Source organism: Homo sapiens, chromosome 6, assembly GCF_000001405.40.
Source record: "Homo sapiens chromosome 6, GRCh38.p14 Primary Assembly".
NCBI lineage: Eukaryota > Metazoa > Chordata > Mammalia > Primates > Hominidae > Homo > Homo sapiens.
The window spans coordinates 54,321,964-54,346,575 of NC_000006.12; the positions used below are offsets into that span (position 1 = coordinate 54,321,964).

Consider the following 24,612-nt stretch of genomic DNA (forward strand, 5'->3'; position numbering starts at 1 on the left):
ATTGAAAAATTAGGTGGCGTCTCCATTTACATAGAGGAAATTAAGATGTAGGCACTGGCCCGGCGAGGTGGCTTATGCCTGTAATCCCAGCACTTTGGGAGGCCAAGGTGGGTGGGTGGATCACTTGAGGCCAGGAGTTCAAGACCAGCTTGGACAACTAGTGAGACCCCATCTCTACTAAAAATACAGAAAAAATTAGCTGGGCATGGTGGTGCATGCCGATAATCCCAGGTACTCAGGAGGCTGAAGCACAACAACCACTGAAGCCTGGGAGGCGGAGGTTGCAGTGAGCCGAGATTGCGCCACTGCACTCCAGCATGGGAATCGGGGGGTGAAACCCTGTCAAAAAAACAAAACAAAACAAACAAACAAAAAAAAAACAAGAAACATAAAAAGATACAGGCGCCAACACTGGCTTTTATTATAGAACTAAAAGGAAGAGGAACAAGCCAGCTGGTATCTGCTTCAGGATTTCTCCACTGCCATTGAACGAATCTCGATATACCCTTGATAACATCTTCTACATTTCTGGAAAAGATTTCACATAAAAAGATCTATTATCAAGCAATTAGAAAAGTGAAATAATCTGGAGAAGTATTTTTATAAAATGGAAGTGTAATCTCCTTCCACATATAACATGTTGTTTCCCAGCATAATGGGGACACTAAATTTCAATGTATTCAAAGTTTTTTCTTGGAACATACAAAACATAGAAAGTCACATTTGTTGATATTAATATCCTTAAACCATTCTCAGTTCCTCTGTGTGTTTGTGAGTGTGTGTGTTTGTGTTAAACCAATATTTTAGAAGATAACTTGATGACATCTTCAGTATTTCCAGGGAAAACCAATTATAATTTTCTGTGGCAAATCATATTTAAATTATTCAAAGAAGATGAGAGTATATGTCATCTTGAGAAATTGAATCAGATTCCTAAAAGGGTTCAAATGCTAGACCTAATTAACATACATTCCTAGCTTTCCACTGTTAACAAGTACATGAGAAACTATAGTCTAAACCAATGTGGTACACCTAAGAATACACACTTAGGAGCACAGAGGTTGTTGGGAATGCTATTAGGTTGGTGCAAAACTCCACCATTACTTTTGCACCAACCTAATATCTTCCTTGGAAGGAGGAACTTTCTTTCCATGATTTATTTATTTTGAGCATGCCCTACGGCTGCTTAAGAGGCATGGGCTTTGCATTTTAGTAGCAAATATTAAAACATCACATAACTTTAAAAGAGTAGAAAGTGAAGTATAATTGGAGCAAAAGGAAACATATAAAAACCAAAGGAAAAAAGTTAAGTAAAAGGAGCAAGCTATAAAGACAAGAAATAAAACTAAAATTATTTACCAGGGCAAAAAAGGGGGGAAGTCTTTAAATTTAAAAGAAAGTTCTAATTCTCAGCTATTCTCTCTTCATTATGCTCAAATTGTTTTTATGTGTAAAAATATAACCATATTATATCATTCAATATTTATTAAGTGCTTTTTAAAATAGCCTACATCAAATATGCAATCTTTGGTTTAAAATATTTCTTTCCCACATCTTGACAGTATTTTAGATCCAAGTCTTTATTTATTCTATGTAATGTACTTCAGTGCTTATTTATTCTCTGTATTATTTTTTAATGTAATCAGTTGATATTAATAAAACATATGTTCCACTGATGGCATGGCTGAGGATACAAATAAATCATTTTGGCCTGGCGAAGTGGCTTATGCCTGTAATCCCAGCACTTTGGGAGGCCAAGACGAGCAGATCATTTGAGGTCAGGAGTTTGAGACCAGCCTGGCCAACATGGTGAAACCCCATCTCTACCAGAAATACAAAAATTATCCAGGTGTGCTGGCACAGGTCTGTAGTCCCAGCTACTCGTTAGGTTGATGCACTAGAATTGCTTGAACCCAGGAGGTGAAGGTTGCAGTGAGCTGAGATCACACCACTGCACTCCAGCCTGGGCCACAGAGTGAGATTCTGTCTCAAACAAAACAAAAAAACAAATAATTTTTATGTTAAGGGAATTTACCATCTAGTTGAGGAGCCAACACTATCATATCTTTATAAAAGGATTTCTAATAATAGGGGAGAATAGAAGCTGTAAATTAGTGGCACAAGTAATAATCAGCAAGTTAGTGGAATAAAGGGAGATATATAAGTGTTTCAATTAACTGCTGCTGTATAACAAACCATTCCAGGATTCAGCATTTTAAAACGATAAGCTTTTCATCTTTTCACATCAGCAATTTGGAATAGGTTCAACTGAGGCTCTTTTGCTGCTCTCTTTTGGAATTACTCCTGTGTCAACAGAGCCTCAACTGAGGCTGAATTGTCTGTGATGGCCTTACTCTATGTCTTGTGGTTGGTGCAGGATGTTAATTGGGCCATGTTTCTCCAGCAGGCTAGCTTTGGCTTCTTCTCATAATTATTATTCTAATGGGGCATACGTGGAAGTTGCCCCAGTCCTCCCTTAAAGCTTATGCTTGAAAGTTTCATGATATCAATTCTACCACTTTCTATTGGGTAAAGCAAGTTACTAGGCCAGCTTACATTCAAAGGCTAGTGAAATAGATTCTTTCTTATGAACTCAAAATTTGGTCTACTGGATAAGTGGCTTTCATTTTTCACTGTTTTCTCAAAACCAGCTCACCCCAAACTGCAGTGATTAACTTCTACCTATTCTTAGTCACTGGCATCTTGCTCTATCTGCTCAACTTGAAAATTTGATGTTAGTTTGGTTCTTCCTTCCTTTTACTCTCAGTCAGTAGGTATTGCTAACTCCCACACAAAAAGTTTCTCTTAGATATTTACTTCTTCCATTCTAGACTATATTCTAATGCATTTCTTTATCAAGCCTAGTTTGAAATTACCTGACTTGTTTCTGTTTCCAGAAATTCTCAATGGTACTCCATTGCTTGTGAAACATAAGTATTGTCCTTAGCATAAATAACATGTTGGTCCAAAAGCTTTTTTACTACCTTATCTTTTATACCGTTTTCAGCCCCTGTGTCCCTATCCTCTCTCCTAGTTTAAGCATTTTACTTATCTGTCATTCCCTAAACATGCCACCCAACTTCAAACCTGCATGCTTTGCTCAAGAGTTACTTTTACTTTAAACAAATGCTCTCTTCTTTCATGTCTGGTCACCAAGGTCATTCTCATCCTTCCAGATAGAGAACTAAATTTGCTTTATGTAAAAAATTTGCCAACTCCTTCAGTTGTGTTTGAAGCTTTTGATCATATTTTGATATATTGCTAACAAATGGCACATGCCAAAGTCATTTCTATCTTTGCAGTGTTTCTTAAGGTATGAGCTTCTTAAATGTAGAGAAGTTTATTCATATCTATGTTCTCCGTGTTTATCAGAGAATATGATAGATCAATTAAGAAAGTTCAATAAATGCTAAATTGGATTAAAATGAAACTTATGAGTCCAGGTCAAGAAGGATGTTATAGGTTAGTCATACCTTTCACACTTTTTGAGCATATCTCACAGTAGAACATACATTTTACTTTGTGATCTAGTACACACACACGTGCACAAGCATCAACACACACATACAGACACAGAGAGTTTATTACCTCAGTATTTGTAATAAACTCTACTATTTCCTATTATTTCTCCTATCTTCTATTTTACTTTCTTAAACTATCACCCTGCTCACCAAATTGAGTGCTGAATTAAATAACCTATGAATGTCTCTGACCTGATGTTTGAAAACTACTAACATAGGGCAACAAAAACATACTTACTGATGTCACAGTTTTGCCCAATTTTGCCCAGTTAGCCTTTTGAATTATACTACAATATCTCTTATATTCAGAGGTTCCCTTATTGAGATTGCACTTTAAATTGTAACCAAGTTTCTAAAGATTTTATGAACTAACAGATCTTGTACAAATTAAAAGCATTAACTTGTGAGGTATATTATTAAAAATTAAGTTGTGTTTTCAATGATTCATAAGAGCCTATCACATTATAAACGATTTTGGTGATAAACATAGCAGGACAGGGTTTAAATTTGATGTGAGTACTGAAAATATATTGACCTAAAGTGGTAGATAATTCAGAATAGGCAATGATTAAATTACTTGCATCTTTCTAATTTTTTATCCACTATCATCTAGTAAAAAATTTTGTTTGTCTTCAAATTTCAATATTAAATTTTGAAGAGAATTTTTTTTCTAATTAAGGGCACAAAATATGTCTCTACAAAAATATGCACTTTCACATCAACTGATTTTTTATTATTATTAATAACTAAGATGATTGAGCACTTAAAACAAATGAACTCATTTAATATATAATAGAATATTTCAATATCTGATTAATTAGATTTTTAATTAATTTTTAAAAATCTGATGTCATTTTTAAAAATTATACCTATTTTATCCTTCATTTTTCATGCATACTTTTTTACCTTGTCAATTTCTTTTCAAATCTAAATTTTAAAGAAAATGTATTAACCTATTTAATGTATAAGTGCATTTCTGTATATTTAAGCTTCTTTCTAAGATGCATTTAATGGCATTTAAAGGAAACTGCATATATTGGCCTTATTAACACTTAATCCCTTTGTGGGATTATGTTCTTCGTAAGAATCATTAAAATACTTGAAATGGACCTTATTTAGGAAGAGTATCTCATACCCTTGATTATAAAATAATCAATAATGCATCATTATATAAAGAATATCTAGCCTGTGACAATTCTCATATTGTGAGATTTGCTGCTATTAAATTTCAGAAATATAAAGGAAAATGTATTTATAAAAGTGATGTCATATAACCTGTATATATTTTTCTATATTTTTCTCTCATTTGTAAGGCAGATGGACAGCACAGAATTACAGCCAATTTTGGGGAATGACTTTAGAAGATGGTTTTAAATTTCGCCTTGGCACTTTGCCACCTAGTCCCATGCTCCTGAGCATGAATGAAATGACAGTAAGTGTTCCTTCTGATTCACGTATGTGCATGTATTTGTAAAAGTGTGTTTGTGTGTGCATTAAAAGCAATTATAAATCACTAAAATAATGAGTTTTGAGCTTTCAGTCATAATTTTGTCACATAAATAAAAAACCCTTTCCCTAAATGGTTGTTAAACCCCTCAAAAGTTTCATATGAGATTTGCAAGTTTACTGTTACCAATTAGACATAGTCTCCTTTAGGAATGATTGAATGGGCTGGCAAGATGGCCGATCAAGAACAGCTCTGGTTGGCAGCTCCCAGCGAGACCAACGTAGAAGGTGGATGATTTCTGCATTACCAACTGAGGTACACGGTTCATCTCATTGGGACTGGTTAGACAGTGGGTGCAGCCCATGGAGGGTGAGCAGAAGCAGGGTAGGATGTCACCTCACCCAGGAAGAGCAAGGAGGCTGGGAACTCCCTCCCTTAGTCAAGGGAAGCCATGAGGGACTGTGTTGTGAGGGATGGTGCATTCTGGCCCAGTTACTATGCTTTTCCCATGGTCTTCGCAATCCGCAAACCAGGAGATTCCCTCAGGTGCCTACACTACCAGGACCCTGGGTTTCAAGCACAAAACTGGGTGGCCATTTGGGCAGACACTGAACTAGCTGCAGGAGTTTTTTTTTTCATACCCCAGTAGTGCCTGGAATGCCAGTGAGACAGAACCATTCACTTTCCTGGAAAGTGGGCTGATGCCAGGGAGCCAAGTGGTCTGGCTCAGCATATCCCACCCCCGCAGAGCCCAGCAAACTAAGATACACTGGCTTGACATTCTCACTGCCAGCACAGCAGTCTGAAATTGACCTGGGACACTCGAGCGTGGTGGAGGGAGGGGCGTCGGCCATTACTGAGGCTTGAGTAGGCGGTTTTCCCCTTATAAACTGCCACCCCTTATAAACAAAGCCACCTGGAAGTTCAGACTGGGTGGAGCTCACCACAGCACAGCAAAGCCACTGTAGCCAGGCTGCCTCTCTAGATTCCTCCTGTCTGGGCAGGGCATCTTTGAAAGAAAGGCAGCAGCTCCAGTCAGTGGCTTATAGATAAAACTCCCATCTCCCTGAGACGGAGCACCTAGGGGAAGGGGCAGCTGTGGGAGCAGCTTCAGCAGACTTAAATTTTCCTGTCTGCCAGATCTGAAGAGAGCAGTGGATATCCTAGCATGGTGCTTGAGCTCTGTTAAAGGACAGACTGCCTCCTCAAGTGGGTTCCTGACCCCCCATGCCTCTTGACTGGGAGACACCTCCCAGCAGGGTTCAACAGACACCTCATACAGGAGAGCTGTGGCTGGCATCCGGTGGGTGCTGCTCTGGGATGAAGCTTCCAGAGGAAGGAGCAGGCAGCAATCTTTGCTGTTCTGAAGGCCCTGCTGGTGATACCCAGGCAAACAAGATCTGGAGTGGACCTCTAGCAAACTCCAGCAGACCTGCAGGAGAGGGGCCTGACTGGGTAGAAGGAAAACTAACAAACAGAAAGCAATAGCATCAACATCAAAAAAAGGACACCCACGCAAAAACCCCATCCGAAGGTCACCAACATCAAAGGCCAGAAGTAGATAAATCCACAAGATGAGGAAAAATCAGCACAAAAAAAGCTGAAAATTCCAAAAACCAGAATGCCTCTTCTTCTCCAAAGGATCACAACTCCTTGCAAGCAAGTGAACAAAATTGGACAGAGAATGAGTTTGATGAATTGTCAGAAGTAGGCTTCAGAAGGTGGATAATAACAAACTCCTCCGAGCTAAGGGAGCATGTTCTAACTGAATGTAAGGAAGCTAAGAACCTTGATAAAAGGTTACAGGAACTACTAACCAGAATAACCAGTTGAGAGAAGAACATAAATGACCTGATGGAGCTGAAAAAACACAACACAAGAACTTCATGAAGCATACACAAGTATCAATAGCTGATTCAATCAAGCAGAAGAAAGGATATGAGAGATTGAAGATCAACTTAATGAAATAAAGCATGAAGGCAAGATTAAAGAAAAATGAATGAAAAGGAACAAACAAAGCATCCAAGAAATATGGGACTATGTGAAAAGACCAAACCCACCTTTGGTTGGTGTACCTGAAGGTGACAGGGCGAATAGAACCAAGTTGGAAAACACACTTCAGGATATTATCCAGGAAAACTTCCCCAACCTACCAAGACAGGCCAACATTCAAATTCAGGAGATACAGAGAACACCACAAAGATACTCCTCGAGAAGAGCAAGCCCGAGACACATAATCACTAGATTCACCACGGTTAAAATGAAGGAAAAAATGTTAAGAAGAGTCAGATAGAAAGATCAGATTATCCACAAAGGGAAGCCCATCAGACTAAAAGTGGATGTCTCTGCAGAAACCCTAAAAGCCAGGAAAGAGTGGGGGCCAATATTCAACATTCTTAAAGAAAAGAATTTTCAGCTCAGAATTTCATATCCAGACAAACTAACTTTCATAAGTGAAAGAGAAATAAAATCCTTTACAGACAAGCAAATGCCCAGGGATTTAGTCACCACCAGGCTTGCCTTACAAGAGCTCCTAAAGAAAGCACTAAATATAGAAAGGAAAAACTGGTACCAGCCACTGCAAAAACATATCAAAATTTAAAGACATTGACACTATGAAGAAACTGCATCAACTAAGGGGAAAAATAACAGCTAGCATAATAATGTCAAGATCAAATTCACACACAACAATATTAACTTTAAATGTAAATGGGCTAAATTCCCCCAATTAAAAGACACAGACTGGCAAATTGGATAAAGAGTCAAGACCCATCATTGTGCTGTATTCAGGAGACCCATCTCACATGCAAAGATACACATAGGCTCAAAATAAAGTGATGGAGGAATATTTACCAAGTAAATGGAAAGAAAAAAAAGCAGGGGTTGCAATCCTGATCTCTAATAAAGCAGAATTTAAACAAAGAAAGATCAAAAAAGACCAAGAAGGGCATTACATAATGGTAAGGGGATCAAGGCAACAAGAAGAACTAACTATCATGAATATGTATGCACCCAATACAGGAGCACCCAGATTCATAAAGCAAGTTCTTAAAGACCTACCGAGACTTAGACTGTCAAATAATAATAGTTGAAGATTTTAACACCCCACTGTCAATATTAGACAAACCAACAAGACAAAAAATTAACAAGGAGATTCAGGACTTGAACTCAGTTGTGGACCGGGCGGACTTAATAGACATCTACAGAACTCTCCACCCCAAATCAACAGAATATACAATCTTCTCAGCACCACATAACATTTATTCTAAAATTGAACACATAACTGGAAGTAAAACACTCCTCAGCATTTGCAAAAGAATGGAAATCATAACAAACAGTCTATCAGATTAGAACTCAGGAATAAGAAACTCACTCCAAACTGCACAACTACATGGAAACTGAACAACCGATTCCTGAATGACTACTGGGTAAATAACAAAATTAAGTCAGAAATAAATAAGTTCTTTGAAACAAATGAGAACAAAGACACAACGTACCAGAATCTCTGGGACACAGCTAAAACAGTGTTTAGAGGGAAATTTATAGCATGTAATGTCCACTGGATAAAATGAGAAAGATCTAAAACAGACACCCTAATATCACAGTTAAAAGAACTAGAGAAGCAAGAGCAAACAAATTCAAAAGCTAGCAGAAGACGAGAAATAACTAAGATCAGAGCAGAAATGAAGGAGATAGAGACATGAAAAACCCTTCAAAACATCAATGAATGCAGGAGCTGGTTTTTTGAAAAGATTAACAAAACAGATAGACCGCTAGCCAGATTAATAAAGAAGAAAAGAGAGAAGAACCAAATAGACACAATAAAAAATGGTAAAGGGGATAACATCACTGATACCACAGAAATACAAACTACCATCAGAGAATACTATAAACACCTCTATGCAAATAAACTAGAAAATCTAGAAGAAATGGATGAATTCCTGGGCACATACACCCTCCCAGGACTAAACCAGGAAGAATTTGAATCCCTGCACAAAGACCAGTAACAAGTTCTGAAATTGAGGCAGTAGTTAATAGCCTACCAACCAAAAAAGTCTAGGACCAGACGAATTCATAGCCAAATTATTCCAGAGGTACAAAGAGGAGCTGGTACCATTTCTTCTGCAACTATTCTAAACAATAGAAAAAGAGTGACTCCTCCCTAACTCATTTTATGAGGCCAGCATCATCTTGATACCAAAACCTGGCAGAGACACGACAAAAAACAAAAATTTCAGGGCAATATCCCTGATGAACATCGATGTGAAAATTCTCAATAAAATACTGGCAAACTGAATCCAGCAGCACATTAAAAAGCTTATCCACCATGACGAAGTCGGCTTCATCCCTGGGATGCAAGGCTGCTTCAACATATCCAAATCTATAAATGTAATCCATCACATAAACAGAACCAATAACAAAAACCACATGATTATCTCAATAGATGCAGAAAAGACCTTCGATAAAACTCAACACCCCTTCATGCTAAAAACACTCAATAAACTAGGTATTGATGAAACATATTTCAAAATAGTAAGAATTATCTATGACAAACCCACAGCCAATATCATACTGAATGGGCAAAAGCTGGAAGCTTTTCCCTTCGAAAACTGGCCCAAGACAAGGATGCCCTCTCTCACCACTTTTATTCAACATAGTATTGGAAGTTCTGGCCAGGGCAATCAGGCAAGAGAACGAAATAAAGTGTATTCATAAAGGAAGAGAGGAAGTCAAATTGTCTCTGTTTGCAGATGACATGATTGCATATTTAGAAAACCGCATTGTTTCAGCCCCAAATCTCCTTAAGCTGATAAGCAACTTCAGCAAAGTCTTAGGATGTAAATCAATGTGAAAAAACCACAAGCATTCCTATACACCAATAATAGATAAACAGAGAGCCAAATCATGAGTGAACTCTCATTCACAATTTGCTACAAAGAGAATAAGATACCTCAGAATACAACCTACAAGGGATGTGAAGGATCTCTTCAAGGAGAACTACAAACCACTGCTCAAGAAAATAAGAGAAGACATAAACAAATGCAAAAACATTCCATGCTCATATGCTCATGGATAGGAAGAATCAACATTGTGAAAATGACCATACTGCCTAAAGTTATTTATAGATTCCATGCTATTCCCATCAAGCTACCATGGACTTTCTTCACAGAATTAGAAAATACTACTTTAAATTTTATATGGAATGAAAAGAGATCCCATATAGCCAAGACAATCCTAAGCCAAAAGAACAAAGATGGAGGCATCATGCTACCTGACTTCAAACTATACTACAAGGCTACTGTAACTAAAACAGCATGGTACTTGTACTAAAACATATATACAGACAAATGGAACAGAACAGAGGCCTCCGAAATAACACCACACATTTACAACCATCTGATCTTTGACAAACCTGACAAAAACAAACAATAGGGAAAGGATTCCCTATTTAATAAATGGTGCTGGGAAAACTGGCTAGCCATATGCAGAAAACTGAAACTGGACCCCTTACTTACACCTTATACAAAAATTAACTCAAGATGAATTAAAGACTTGAACATAAGACCTAAAACCATAAAAACCCTAGCAGAAAACCTAGGCAATACCATTCAGGACATAGGCACGGGCAAAGACTTCATGAATAAAACACCAAAAGCAATGGCAACAAAAGCCAAAATAGACAAATGGGATCTAATTAAACTAAGGAGCTTCTGCACAGCAAAAGAAACTATCATCAGAGTGAACAGGCAACCTACAGAATGGGAGAAAATTTTTGCAGTCTATCCATCTGACAAAGGACTAATATCCAGAATCTACTAGGAACTTAAACAAATTAACAAGAAAAACAAACAACCCCATCAAAAAGTGGGCAAAGGACATGAACAGACACTTCTCAAAAGAAGACATTTATGCAGCCAACAAACATATGAAGAAAAGCTCATCATCACTGGTCATCAGAGAAATGCAAATCAAAACCACAGTGAGATACCATCTCATGCCAGTTAGAATGGCAATCATTAAAAAGTCAGGAAACAACAGATGCTGGAGAGGATGTGGAGAAATAGGAATGCTTTTTTTACTGGTGATGGGAGTGTAAATTAGCTCAACCATTGTGGGAGGCAGTGGGGCAGTTCCTCAAAGATCTAGAACTAGAAATACCATTTGATTCAGCAATCTCATTACTGGGTATATACCTAAAGGTTTATAAATCATTCTACTATAAAGACACATGTACACATATGTTTATTGCAGCACCATTCACAATAGCAAAGACTTGGAACCAACCCAAATGCCCATCAATAATGGACTGGATAAAGAAAATGTGGCAAATATATACCATGGAATACTATGCAGCCATAAAAAGGATGAGTTTATATCTTTTGCAGGGACATGGATGAAGCTGGAAACCATCATTCTCAGCAAACTAAGACAGGAACAGAAAACCAAACACTGCATGTTCTCACTCATAAGTGGGAGTTGAACAATAAGGACATACGAGCACAGGGAGGGGAACATCATGCACTGGGGCCTGTCGGGGGATTGGGGGCTAGGGGAGGGATAGCGTTAGGAGAAATATCTAATGTAGATGATGGATTGATGGGTGCAGCAAACCACCATGGCACATGTATACCTTTGTAACAAACCTGCACGTTCTACACATGTATCCCAGAACTTGAAGTATAATAAAAAAAAAAAAAATAAAATAAAATAAAATTGATAATCCAGAAAAAGAATAATTGAGTGTTTATTTACATTGATAATGACTTCACAGAAATACAAATTTCGGATTACTGGTTATTCAGTGTGCCAGTACTTCAGCAAGTCATTGTTTCAATTTTTCTTTTTTACCTAAACACAGTTATTTTGTCCTGTCTATAGGAATATTCATTATCATATTAGAATAAAATAAATGTTAGTATCTTCAGACATATATGCCTTGATGATTAGTAAAGGTTGATCCTCAAAAATCCTCAAGATTTCTGTTAAAAGCATATCTTCAAATTTTGCCTGATGACCTGGCAAACTCCTTTGTAAAATTACCTCCAGTTTTCTAGCATTCTTATGCTTTGAACTATCATATTGGTTTTTCCCTTTCATTTTTAAGAGGTGTTATCATCTGCTACTAGGTATCTTGCACAAAGAAGTTTCTACCTCTCTTGTTATTACAAACCTGTTACTCACAAATCTGCCGTGTTACCACCCAATGTGTGGTGTTCTCCAGGCACATAGACTTTCCAGTTGAGATATTGATTGTATTCAAGGCCTGTTATGAATGCCCGGGGCAGAGTGGTGCTTCCAGGCTGCTGGAGTGTAGCCTCTCCACTCTCCAATGAAGACATCCAGTCTCAGCTGCCTAGAAGCTCTCAGCATCTTTAGCAGGCAAGATTATTGTTTCCTGTTGGATGAGTTGTAAATGCACAGGTTTCTCTTCAAATGTTTAATGTACTTTGCTTTTGAGTGATGTAATCACCTGAGTTATTGTTCCAATTCAAATTCCAGTAGCAGGGCCTTCTAAATTATAACTAGTATCAGAGAAGATAATAACAGATGTTTATGAAGTAGTTGTGTATTAAAGCACTTACAGTTTCGTACATGATCTCATTTAATTTTCCCAGCAGCATGATGTAGTGGATCCTATCATTACTCACATTTTAAAGACAGGCAAATTGAGGTTGAGAAGTTAAGTCAAGCCAAGATTGAGAGAGGTTAAAAGCCACCACAGAATTATTTATATTCATAGACAGGCCATCTAAAAAATTATTTCCCCTTAGTAGAGTTCCTGAATTGGCCAATGCTAATTGGAACTCTACTAAGTCTACTTACTCCAGTTAGTAGAATTCCAATATAGCGTTGGCCAATTCAGGTTCAAAGTAGTAAAAAGACTTTTAATCTCTCAACCAAAGCTAACTTTCTGAAATGTTCAGCTTTGATATACTTTAGGGTCTCCCCTACAATCATAAGATTTAAATCTTTATGGTTTTGAGTGACCTAACTGTATGATCAACAGAAAAAGAGTTTTTTTTTTCTGTTTTATTTCTCATTTTTGTTCTTACCCAGTGAGAAAAAATAGTGGGCAGCATTATTTAAGAAAAGAGGACAGACCTTTATAAGGTTTGCTCTTTCACTTGCTTTTATTGAGGGCCACGGTGGGCCACACACTCACTTATGTGTCTCTATATATTTCCTGAAAATTATTTCTAACATATCCTTTATAAACAAATTTCTGCAGCTTGGAATATTTTATGTTCTAGAGAAAATGATTTACATTTCTTTCCCAAGTTTCCACTCACCATAGCAAAGAAAAGGAAATTTAATTCAAAATCATTTACTGGCTCCTGGGGATTTGTTTGCATAAAAGTCACTCTGGTGATATTTAAATTAAAACTCTTAATGATGAGTTGGGAAGAATTTAAATTACCTAGTGCTTTGAATTATTGTAATAAGTTACAACACCTGGAATTGCCAAGTAATTCCAGGAAAGCAATAAGAAAAATTCAGCTGAACCAGTAAGAGTTCTATTACACTTACGATGTAAGTCAAGGAAATGCATCTTATTTCTAGGGCATGGTAGTTAGGACTAAATTTCTGAGTGTTAGAGAGGTTTTAATATGTGGTCAGGCAGAATAGAATCAGAAATAACAGCAAGTGTTTCTAGGAAGAACATGAAGTAAGAAAGAACTGAGTTGAACTGGAAGCTTTGGAAAGCTATAGCTACCAGTTAGTTTTATAGCTAGTTCTTAGTCTGTTGACTACATAGAAAAACCCAATATGTGATATCAAACTGCCTCCAACTACAGTGACAACGAATTTCTTTTTGTGGGAATTCTTCTCGATTAGTGGTGCACTCCCCTCACCGCCCTGCAAACACACTTTTCCCCAACTTTTAAAAAATCATTTTCAATGCATGATAGACTATACATACAGCCAGGGTGGGCAGTAGCCAACAGTGGTATGATTTCAAGCATGCTGAAAATTTCCATGCACCTCCTTCCATAAACATCTCCTTGGCCATATTGCTTGGGTAAGAGTTTAGATTCGGGAAATTATTTTCCCTGGATGGGAAAGATAAGCCATGAGTCATCCTGAATTCCTGGGGAAGCTCTTTCCTTCCCTGGCTGGTTTCCTGGCTTCATTCCTTTAGCTTAAGTCATTATTCCCGTAACATGTCTACTGGCTCCTTCACTTATTACCTCAGTCTCCTTCTGCACAAAATGACAATGGTGGTAGTATCTAGCTCATAGGGTTGCATAAGTCCCATGAAATACTTGATGAGAAATGCTTAGCACAGTACTTAGATTATAGTAAAGTTTAAATAAATGTTATTATGTAATATATAAAGGTGTTCTTTCTCCCTTGTATTGACCTTGGGAGAATAGCAGGGTTTTGAGGCAAGTTAATGTGGTAAGGACTAAGTTATTAAAACCTTCATTATTTGCAGCATTTTCTTTTATAAAGAAAGGTGTAGGCCTGGATTTATTGACTCTGATAGAGTTTATATATTTCTGGTGAACTGAGAGTTCTATGATGCTCTTATATCAAATCAAATCAACTTTGTACCTGATTGTTCTTCCAGACATAATGTTCAAGTGCTTGTGAATTTGGGAGATAGCACCAAGAAGCTTCACTGTGTTATATCTTATAAATATTAAAAATATTTTGAAAAAATACTATTTTCACATAGAAATGTGAAAATTAAGAGTTCATTTGTATGCTTGGCTCCATTAAAATTTGTTTCTTTAGCAATTTTGAAATTATTTTTATTTGTTTCCCAAGGAGACTAATTAGGTTACTAAAGCTATTACAGGTTAGTATTATGTCTAAGGTGGAACTATTTGGAAACAATTAAAATATTAAGAAGGCTAGTATGGCATTTAAAACCTGTTGGTGTACTATATTATTTAATATCAGATTGCGGTAAGTAAAATAATCTAAAATTGTTTGAGTCAATCTCATAGCTAACCAGAACAGCATCCTTTCTCGGTCATCCAATATATATTAAGGTATTGGCATTAACTAACAAAGAAAAAAATGTTATACTTTCTATAGTATGTTGGAAGTTAAAGTAAAATAATACTTTATTTATTTTATAATAAAAAATCTTTTAAAGCCAATGATTTTTGAGGTGAGAAATGGAAAATTTTTTTAATCATCTGGATACTTTATTATTCTCTAGATAACATGTAATAATATGAGGATTTTTTTTTCCTTTCAGAAATATATTTCAATGACAGCCAAGTACTGAGGCATAAGAAATATCTTTGAAAATCTTAAAGTAATTTTCCAAGTTTAGTTTCTACTGTTCATGGGATTTGAATTTTTTTTTTTTTTTTTTTTTTTTGAGACAGAGTCTTGCTCTGTTGCCCACACTGGAGTGCAGTGCTGCTATCTCTGCTTCCTGCAACCTCTGCCTCCTGAGTTCAACCAATTCTCCCTGCCTCAGCCTCCTGAGTAGCTGGGATTACAGGCATCTGCCACCAAGCCCGGCTAATCTTCGTATTTTTAGTAGAGACAGGGTTTTGCCATGTTGGCCAGGCTGGTCTCGAACTCCTGCCCTCAGGTGATCCGCCCGCTTCGGCCTCCCAAAATGCTGGGATTACAGGTGTGAGCCATTGTGCCAGGCTGGGATTTGAGATTTTTGATTTGACTAGGAATAACCCTGTCTGAACAAACATCTCCTACCTGATTGCAATACCATATGTCACCCTTATAAACAGAAGCCTCTGTGGAAACCAAAACGTTCAGTATAAAAGGGAAAAACACAGTTATATACTTTTTATAATATTGAGCAATAACGACCATTTTCTCCATAAAATTCGTGTTTAGCTCCCACACACATGAACATAAGGCAAATGGCATCAGGCTTCTGGAATACAGGAAGGGCTGATGGTGCGGTAGAAGAGGGGAAGAGAGGCAGGGCCAGATGTTACGGTGGAGACTGTGTTTGTATATGTTTCCTTCAGCTCATCTCAGAATTTTTTCATCCATGTAGGGAAAAGCCGAGGACAGAGTAGTATGATAGTCGTTCTTGCTGTCACTGAATTAAGAATTTTAAAATTCAAAGAGTGTCAAACTTGTGTTTCTTTCTTTTTACTACTTCTGTCTCTCTCAGAATGGAACCTCACACCCTTCGGTAAACTTAGAAAATATACGCCTGGCCTCACTCCTTATTCACCTACACTTTTAGCAGAATGAATGTCTTATCTCTCAAATCAATTTTCAGATTTCAATGTGGTATTTCTGCACTAGTCACAGTCTGATGTATAACACTGTGGTAAAATTGACTATGGCTTGAACAACACAGTGGAACCTAATTGATAACTGCAGGACAAATCTTCAAAAATAAATGTAAAAATTTATTATTTTCTTCTCTATGAAGAAGTATTTTAGGCTGTTAAAAAGTAGACTTCTAAAGTCATTTTGTGTGTTCATAGTACAGGCACCTATTCTCTGGCCTCTCCATGGCTGGGTCTGTCTTGACCTAAAGTATGTTCCATAAAACACTAGTTTGGCCGGGAGGTGTGGCTCACACCTGTAATCTCAGCACTTTGGGAGGCCGAGGTGGGCGGATCACAAGGTCAGGAGATCAAGACCATCCTAGCTAACACGGTGAAACCCCGTTTGTACTAAAAATACGAAGAAAAATTAGCCGGGTGTGGTGGCACGTGTCTGTAGTCCCAGCTACTCGGGAGGCTGAGGCAGGAGAATCATTTGAAACTGGGAGGCGGAGGTTGCAGTGAGCCTAGATCCCGCCACTGCACTCCCAGGCGACAGAGCAAGACTCTGTCTCAAAAAAAAAAAAAAAAAAAAAAAAGACTAGTTCATTGATCTGCTTCACAATAAAAATGATATGATGTAAATGAAATAAAATATTTTGCACTGGACCAAATCCTGAACATTTAACACCATGAACATTATTACCATGTTTTAGAGCTCACATACATTAGCAGTTTGTAAAAAACACTGCAGTGAAGACAAAAATCTAATTTTCAAAACCGGTGTTTCTCAGAACTATTTTATTACCTCCTTTTGTAATTACCTATTAAAATTCCTCAGAACTAGTGTTCTAAGGAACTCATTTAAGGAAATATCACAGTTCATCCATTTTCAGATGCATATTTTTTTCACCCATTAACACCTCTGAAATTGAGATGCTTTCTTACATTTGTTGATGCCTTGGGTTCAATGAAATATGACATTGCCCTAGCAACTTTAATGGCAATTGTGTGTGCTGTTTTAGTTATGATTAGGCTCAGCTGAAAGTGACAAAAATTTAAAATGACGGTTGCTTAAATAAGATAGAAACTGATTTCTCACCAGTAAATCTGGAAGTGGGTAGCCCTGTGCTGGAATTGTACTCTGTGGTGCTGGATACCCACACTTCATTCTTCTTGTCCTTCCATTGCCCAGCACCTTTATTTCCAAGGTCATATAATGGTTCAACAGGACTGCTCTATGTCTGTCTGCAATGCCTACATTTCTGCCAACAGAAAAATACGAAAGATCAAGACAAAGGAGTAAAAGTCAAGTGCCAGCTGTCTCTTAAGGAAAGATCTCAGAAGCTACTTTACATTCCACAGGGTACAACTTAGTGATAGCAGCCTGGGTAGGCGGGTTGAGGGGGGTGCATGGAGGGGCTGGGAAGTGGGCAATTACATTACATATTGATCTTTTTAAGAAGTCATTAAAAGATTACTCTATTATAAAAAACTAGAGACTTATCAAAGGATACCTCTTTTAAAGGTAAGGCACAAAGACAAATATTGTTGAAGATGAGAAATTCATTTAGCCATTAGCAACTAGAAAATTAGCCTTTTCATCCCCAGTATCAAATAGTTCCAAAATTTCTTGGTATTCATGGCCACTGACCTTAGATTGTAAAGGTCATAACAGAATTTCATTCTCTGTTGCTTCATTTGGTTCTCAGGTCACTATAAGCATCCAAGCTTAAATGGGTGGGGGGAAATACAACTGAAAATATAGGGCTGATGCACATAGAGGATATTGTGTGGATACAGACTCAATTGTAAGAATGTCTAGAATTTATTCTGAGGTTCCTGAGAAAATTGATCAATTTATCTCAAGCTATGCTATGATTACATTTCCACCACTCTTTTAGAGATTTTAATTTAATTAAATGCAAATGTTATACAATTCTCCAGTGTTTATTGTTGTATTTAATTCCCATATTTGCCAACAATATCTTTAATTTCTAATTTTTAAATGAAAATACTGAAACAGGGAGACTGTTCACATTGAACATCAAATTTGGCTAATACTGATTTGGAAATATGGTTAGATCCTGATTAAAATATTTTTCAACATTACAATGAAAAGAATTAAGCATATCTATATGAAATCCTGTAAGTCTTTCTTAAAAATGAATTTCTATCTACTCAAGCCAGTGTCATTTTGGAATTTCTGTCACTATCAGCTGATCTTCTTGATTCTTTTGTTTTATTAAGCAAAAAAAAAAAAAATTAAAAACAAATGTATCATTCATTAAAGCCAAACTTCTATTACCAATTCCTAACAGCCATTATTCTGTGATGCTTACCTTTATTTATAAACTCTAAACAATTTACTTTACAGAGGAATACAGTAATTGTGAAATAATGAAATATAAAATTTTCTGTGGTTTTATAATATCAGATTAGCTGATATCATGAGGCAGATAAAAAATATGTGCCTGCTGCTCCTCAAATCCTAGGAGCTCATTTTTAGTAAAAGCAGTAATAAATAAATGGTAAAAATCTTGAAAATCCAACAGATGATCTTCATAAATTGATCTGGCTTAGTGGATTGGTAAATAAGTTTTTAATAAAAGTGTCATTTTGCTTGTTGTTTCACTATTGCCTTGTCTTATTGAGACGGATTCACCATTTATATTTTTTCATTTTTAAAGAATAAATCATAAAAGCGACAAATGCATGCTAGTATTATGATTTAACTTAAAGTGCCTATGGAGGAAAACATACTTTTACTTGATAGATACGTATTTCATTATTATTATTAAATATTTATTGCATATCTCCCATATGCAAAGTACTCTGATAGGCTTTCAAATGTGGAGGTCAATTTCTAAATAACCCAACCCTGCTGAATTGTGTTTAAAGTAATAGTTATATGTTTATTTTTTCAGTAGAGTAGAAGGAACATATCCTAGCTTTGTCATTAAGTTGAAATTTTAAAGTGATAAAATAACAATTGACACTCCACTATTTTTCTGAAAACATGAGGCGACTTAGTATTATAAATGCCTAAAGGCACACTGACAAACCAATAATACAAAATTGAAGGGTATGAGTTTTAAGATATGTATATTTCTGCCTCAGCTAGGAAGGCACCTTTCAAAAGTGAGTCTGTATCTCTCAAATTATCTACCCAGAGCAATAAATGTATTCTGCCCCAACCCTAAGATTCTGCAATGCAGTCCATCTAATGTCATCAAAACCCCCAAATCACTTAGTTTTCTATGATACCATCCTTGAAGTTATCATGTAAGCACTTCACAATGATCTGCTTGATGTTTTTGGCACTTTCTTCCATCATCAAAATAGCAGCAATGGACCTCAGGATACAATAACTTTCTTGTCAGGTGGTAATAGTTTTCTAAGTCAAAACTGAACTCCCCTATTAAAATACAAATTTATAAATTATTTTGGATGAAAACCTTTTCAAGCAGACTTGTAAATTCTAAACATTCCTTGTTTTAATCTTGGAAGCTATTATGTACTTATCAGAAGTAATTTTTTTTTGCAAGATACCAACCAGATCAGTAATATGACTAGCTCAAGGCACAATCACAAAACTTTTAAATTGGTAAAAATTTTTAACATTTTACTTCTGCGGCAAATTAGCCATATATTTCTGATAAAGCAGGGAAACTATAGAAATGAAGCAGTTAAGAATTTAGAAGCCTGAGTGTAGTCCTAGGAGCATTTCTTGTTTAGCTGAGGGACTCAACATGTCTTTTAACTGCTAAAAGTTAGTTTTCTCATTCATAAAAAATAGCTAATAATATTTGTCCCTGAGTATATCACATAGGAATATTGAGAAGACAAAATAAAATAATGAGTATTAAGACATTAAAACACTTTCAAAACTTGAAAGAATGCTCAGAAATGATTGGGGTGTGTGTGTGTGTGTGTGTGAGAACACATATACACAACTGATGAAAAACTAATAAACAAATCGTTATTTGGTTTAAGCCTGATTCTTTTTGGAAGTGAAAGTCATCTCTTTAGAAAAGTTTGGGAAATAACAGGTTATAGTGTTCTAGATTTTCTTTGAATGAAATGAACAGAACAAGTTTACAATTTAGTTGGCTTCTTGGAAAGATGGCAGCCAAAACAGACTTTGTCAGGGCTTTAACCTGGGCTCTTAAGAAACCATAATTTTGCACCGTTGCTCTTTCACACTTCCTGAAGTCTTTTTTTTTTTTTTTGAGATGGAGTCTTGCACTGTCGCCCAGGCTGGAGAGCAGTAGCGCGATCTCGGCTCACTGCAACCTCTTGCAATTTCCACCTCCCAGGTTCAAGTGATTCTCCCACCTGAGCCTCCTGAGTAGCTGGGATTACAGGTGCCCACCACCATGCCTGGCTAATTTTTTGTATTTTTAGTAAAGACGGGTTTTCACCATGTTGGCCAGGCTGGTCTCGAACTCCTGACCTTGTGATCCACCCGCCTCAGCCTCCCAAAGTGCTGGGATTACAGGCGTGAGCCACCGTGCCCAGTCCTGAAGTCCTTTTTAGACTTCAAGTATTTTATAAATATCAACCAATTCATCCTAGTTGTATTTCCTAATAGCTGGTGTAAAATTGATGTGTTCCTTGGGGCTCTATACACATATAATACATAATTGTCATAAATGCACCCTTTCAAAATTAATTTCATCTCAGAATCACATAAACTCTTTAAAATAGGAGAGACAGAGAAGTAAATGTTCTTTATGAGGACAAATTTGAATAACACCATGTGGTCTTCCTATGGATGAGCAAAACTCTGATTCAAGGTGATAGAAACATTGGCTGATATTATTGCACTGTGCAGTAACCCAGTAAAACCATTCTATGTATTTTTCTCATGACCTTGTATTAGGTTATGAGTCCCCATATTGAATTGTCATTTTTAACCATAGAGTGAAATATAAATCCCACATAGCTGTAGTTCATCTGGAAACTTGGATGTATAAAATAATTTAAAAAATAATTATAACTTTATAAAAGGGCGTGACATTTTCCTATTGAGACATATTTGAGAAAATCTCATATATGTACCTCTTCTTCCTCTTTAGGCTTCTTTACCTGCAACAACTGATCTTCCAGAGTTTTTTGTTGCTTCTTATAAATGGCCTGGATGGACTCATGGCCCATTGGATCAAAAAAATTGTGCTGCATCCTGGGCATTTTCCACTGCAAGTAATAAAGTCATTTTAATTCCTTCCTTATAAACTACTCCTTTTGGCTCTAGAGACTGAGAGAATAATTGAACAATTTTAACAATTAGAATATTTAAATATTAGCATATGATCAAATAAAATCTCATTATGATGGAAGAAAGTAACCTGAAGATTATATAAAAAATCCATTTTTAGTCTAAAAGTTTTTTTTTTTTATTTTAGGGTGAAATTTTAAATAGAGAGCGAATCAAAAGAGTGACAAAATAAATTTACTAAAATGTGTTTGTCTATTCAGAGTTAAGGCCAAATAATAAAAAAGGATTAAGGTTCTTTTTCATTCATATATTATTTATAATTCTAATATACATATAGACACACCCACGTAATCCTCATACCTTTACTCTTTATATGATTTGCAAAAACAGTTATTAATCTAATTTGATGTGAAGTAAGACTTTAAACCTAAATAATAATGGATCAAATGGATTTTATTTCATTTTAAATAAATATAAGCAAATATATAGGTTCTGACTCAAAAGTAATGTAACTGATCTTTTAATAAGAATAGCTTCTAAATTAAGTCTACTGTTACTCAAAAAGTATAAGCAATGACTCTTTTATAGTTACTTTCATATAAATTCACAAATCCAATAAATTAGTTACAGGCTAACCCTCAAATTAGGTCTCCAAAATTGTCCTCAAAGGAGTGTTGAATATATTTCAGGAATTAAATGAAACCTAACATGATGATTGGCTGTCATTCAATTATCTTCATAAAACCATGCTCTAGAGTTTGCAGGTAATTTCAACAGTGTTCAAAGACAGTTTAAAGCCATTGAAGGATTGTGAACAAGTACATAGGCTGTTCAAGAAGCCAGCTCTGAAAGGCAGCATATCCTGGGACAGAGAAATGCTGACATCTTTGTCTAAATACCATTGCTCCATAGTATCAATCAGACAACTCCAGAAATGCCTTTGTTAAAATCATAATGGTAGCCAAACTCACCCCAAGTGGCTACATTTGTTAATTCACTGCTCCCCACACCCCCTCTCTGGCTATCTTATGATGTCCTTGATGTGTCAGGGACCCACATGGAGACCTTTCTGAGCTAAAATTTGTTTGTCTATTGATGGATAAGACCAGATAATAAAAAGAAGATTAAGGTTGTTTCAGATGGGTGGAGAGAGGTTTAATATAATAAACCGTTTGCCATTTTATATTCATGTGGTTAAGGTGTTACACCTAGATCTATAAGAATTTTGCCTAAAATTTATATTATGCCAGTATTTCTGAAGATATCTAAAGGAAAACATTTGTGGTGAAATACTGAAAGCAACTTGCTAGGGTGGAGGATATATTTTGGTGTTCCCAGGTCTCAACCCCACAGATAGCCTCTGCACTGTACCAAGTCAGGATTGTTCCCCTACCTAATTCACGGAACACCAGAGAGAGGTTTCCTTTTGTGATTCCAAAGGACATAGTTTTGTATCCTGTGAATTCAGTATGATAAATTAGGGCAATTCTTTTTTGTGTTAAATAAAGAAAAAAATAAACTAAATTATCATAAAGATCTAAAAAATTACGTCGAGAAGTATTAGTTACAAAAATAGATTATCTCTCAGAGAAACTAAAAGCTATACAATTGAATAAATAAGACTTAAAAATATGCACATATATTTTAAAAACTTATGTAATCAAATCAAATTCAAGCTATTTTTCAGAAGCTGAAGAGATAAAGGTGTTTGGAGTAGTGGGGGTAATATGTTTCACATACATTTGAAGACGGAATAAAATAAGCAAGGGAAAGAATAGAGTGTGTCTCAGAGGTACTGTCCAGTGAGAGTTTTTAAGAAGAGAGTGGAAAACAATTGGTTGAACTGAGTCATTCTTAAATATTCTGACCTTTTCTAAATATTTCAAGTGAATTTTAGCTAAACCATCATTGAGATTCAGAAATGTCGGTATAAGACCAACATATTGCATAACATTAGGATTTAAAACATTTATCCTTCAGTTGAAATCTACAGATTTGTGAGGCTGGAAGAGATTTTAAAGGTCACCTTATTCAAGCCTCCAGTATTATAAACGAGGCCCAAATAGGTAAAGTGGCTTATCTGAAGCCAAAAGATGAGAAATATCAGAAATAATCCTGGAGACCAGGCTTCCAACTTCTGGATTACTGTTTTCTCTACACTATAAAAGTATTTTCTGAATGAAAACACAGTTACACCATTTTTTAAAATTTCGATTTCTTTCTAAACCCCTGTGCTGAATGTCAGAGCATCAAAGAATTTCTCCTTTCCTTGATGAAATGGGGAATTATTTTCTTGAGACTATCAGAAGTCGTGTAATGCCATTTGCTCCTGTGAAATATATCCTAGTGCAATAGTAGATGGGAATTTAGTAGGGAGCTGGAGGTTATAGATTTAACACATATTGAGCATCTAAAGGATGCCAGCAATTTCCCTAAAGCATTGTAATATGCTGTAGTTACATTAAAAATATGTGTATACAAAGATACATATGTAAATGAATTAAATGAATTATTTTATAAAATTTTTAATTAGCACCTTGAGGGGTTTCAGGACACTAACAATTTTGATGAGAAAAAAAATAAACTTTCACTAAGAAAAGTGAATGAATAGAAGAAAGGTTATTATTTTGTTGCCTTTAATTAAAAGTGAGTAAGAAACCAACTTAGAACAAAACTGAACAAGACTGTACCAGATATTCAACAAGACTGTTCCAGATATTCAATAAAAAAGTCTGTACTAAAATGGTACCCACCCCAATTTTTTCATAATCTCATCACTCACATTAGTTTATTTTGGTACAATGATCAAAATGATGACATCTGTAGGGTTTTGCTACTGGTTAATTAGTTTCCCTGGTCTATTATTCTAAGAGGGCAGAACTATGTCTCCCTTGTTTCTTGTTCATCATTGTAATTTCCAGTGCTACAATGCCTGTCAGTTAGTAGGTGTTTAATAAATGTGTTGAGGAAAGGAATGAACTAATAACAATTACAATTCTAGGAAATCATATAACAAAAGAATAGAAGTTTTAATAATAAAAAGTTTGTGTGTGTGTGTGTATACATATATAATGATATTAGTTAACAATATGATAGTCATAAATATATTATTAGTTGTATATAGCATCACATATAATCAGTTACATATATAGCTATTAGATTGTATATATATAATTACATGTATAGCTATATATAATGAACTATATTATA

General features: G+C 35.9%; 1 protein-coding gene across 9 annotated transcripts in view; it reads left to right on the plus strand.

The window, feature by feature from the left end:
* TINAG (tubulointerstitial nephritis antigen) overlaps positions 1-24,612 on the plus strand; it is an 82,281-nt gene that overhangs the window by 14,102 nt on the left and 43,567 nt on the right. For 6 of the 9 annotated variants that reach the window (XR_001743344.3, XM_006715062.3, NM_014464.4 and 3 more), the window contains 2 exons: positions 4,839-4,953; positions 21,263-21,386. Coding sequence is in view for 8 of the 9 variants with exons in the window: in XM_006715062.3 (XP_006715125.1) it covers positions 4,839-4,953; positions 21,263-21,386 (239 nt within the window). In the remaining variant the exon portion in view is untranslated. Of the gene's footprint in view, positions 1-4,834; positions 4,954-21,262; positions 21,387-24,612 lie in introns of all 9 variants that reach the window. The other 3 variants (XM_011514497.3, XM_017010747.2, XM_017010748.2) reach the window with 1 other exon arrangement.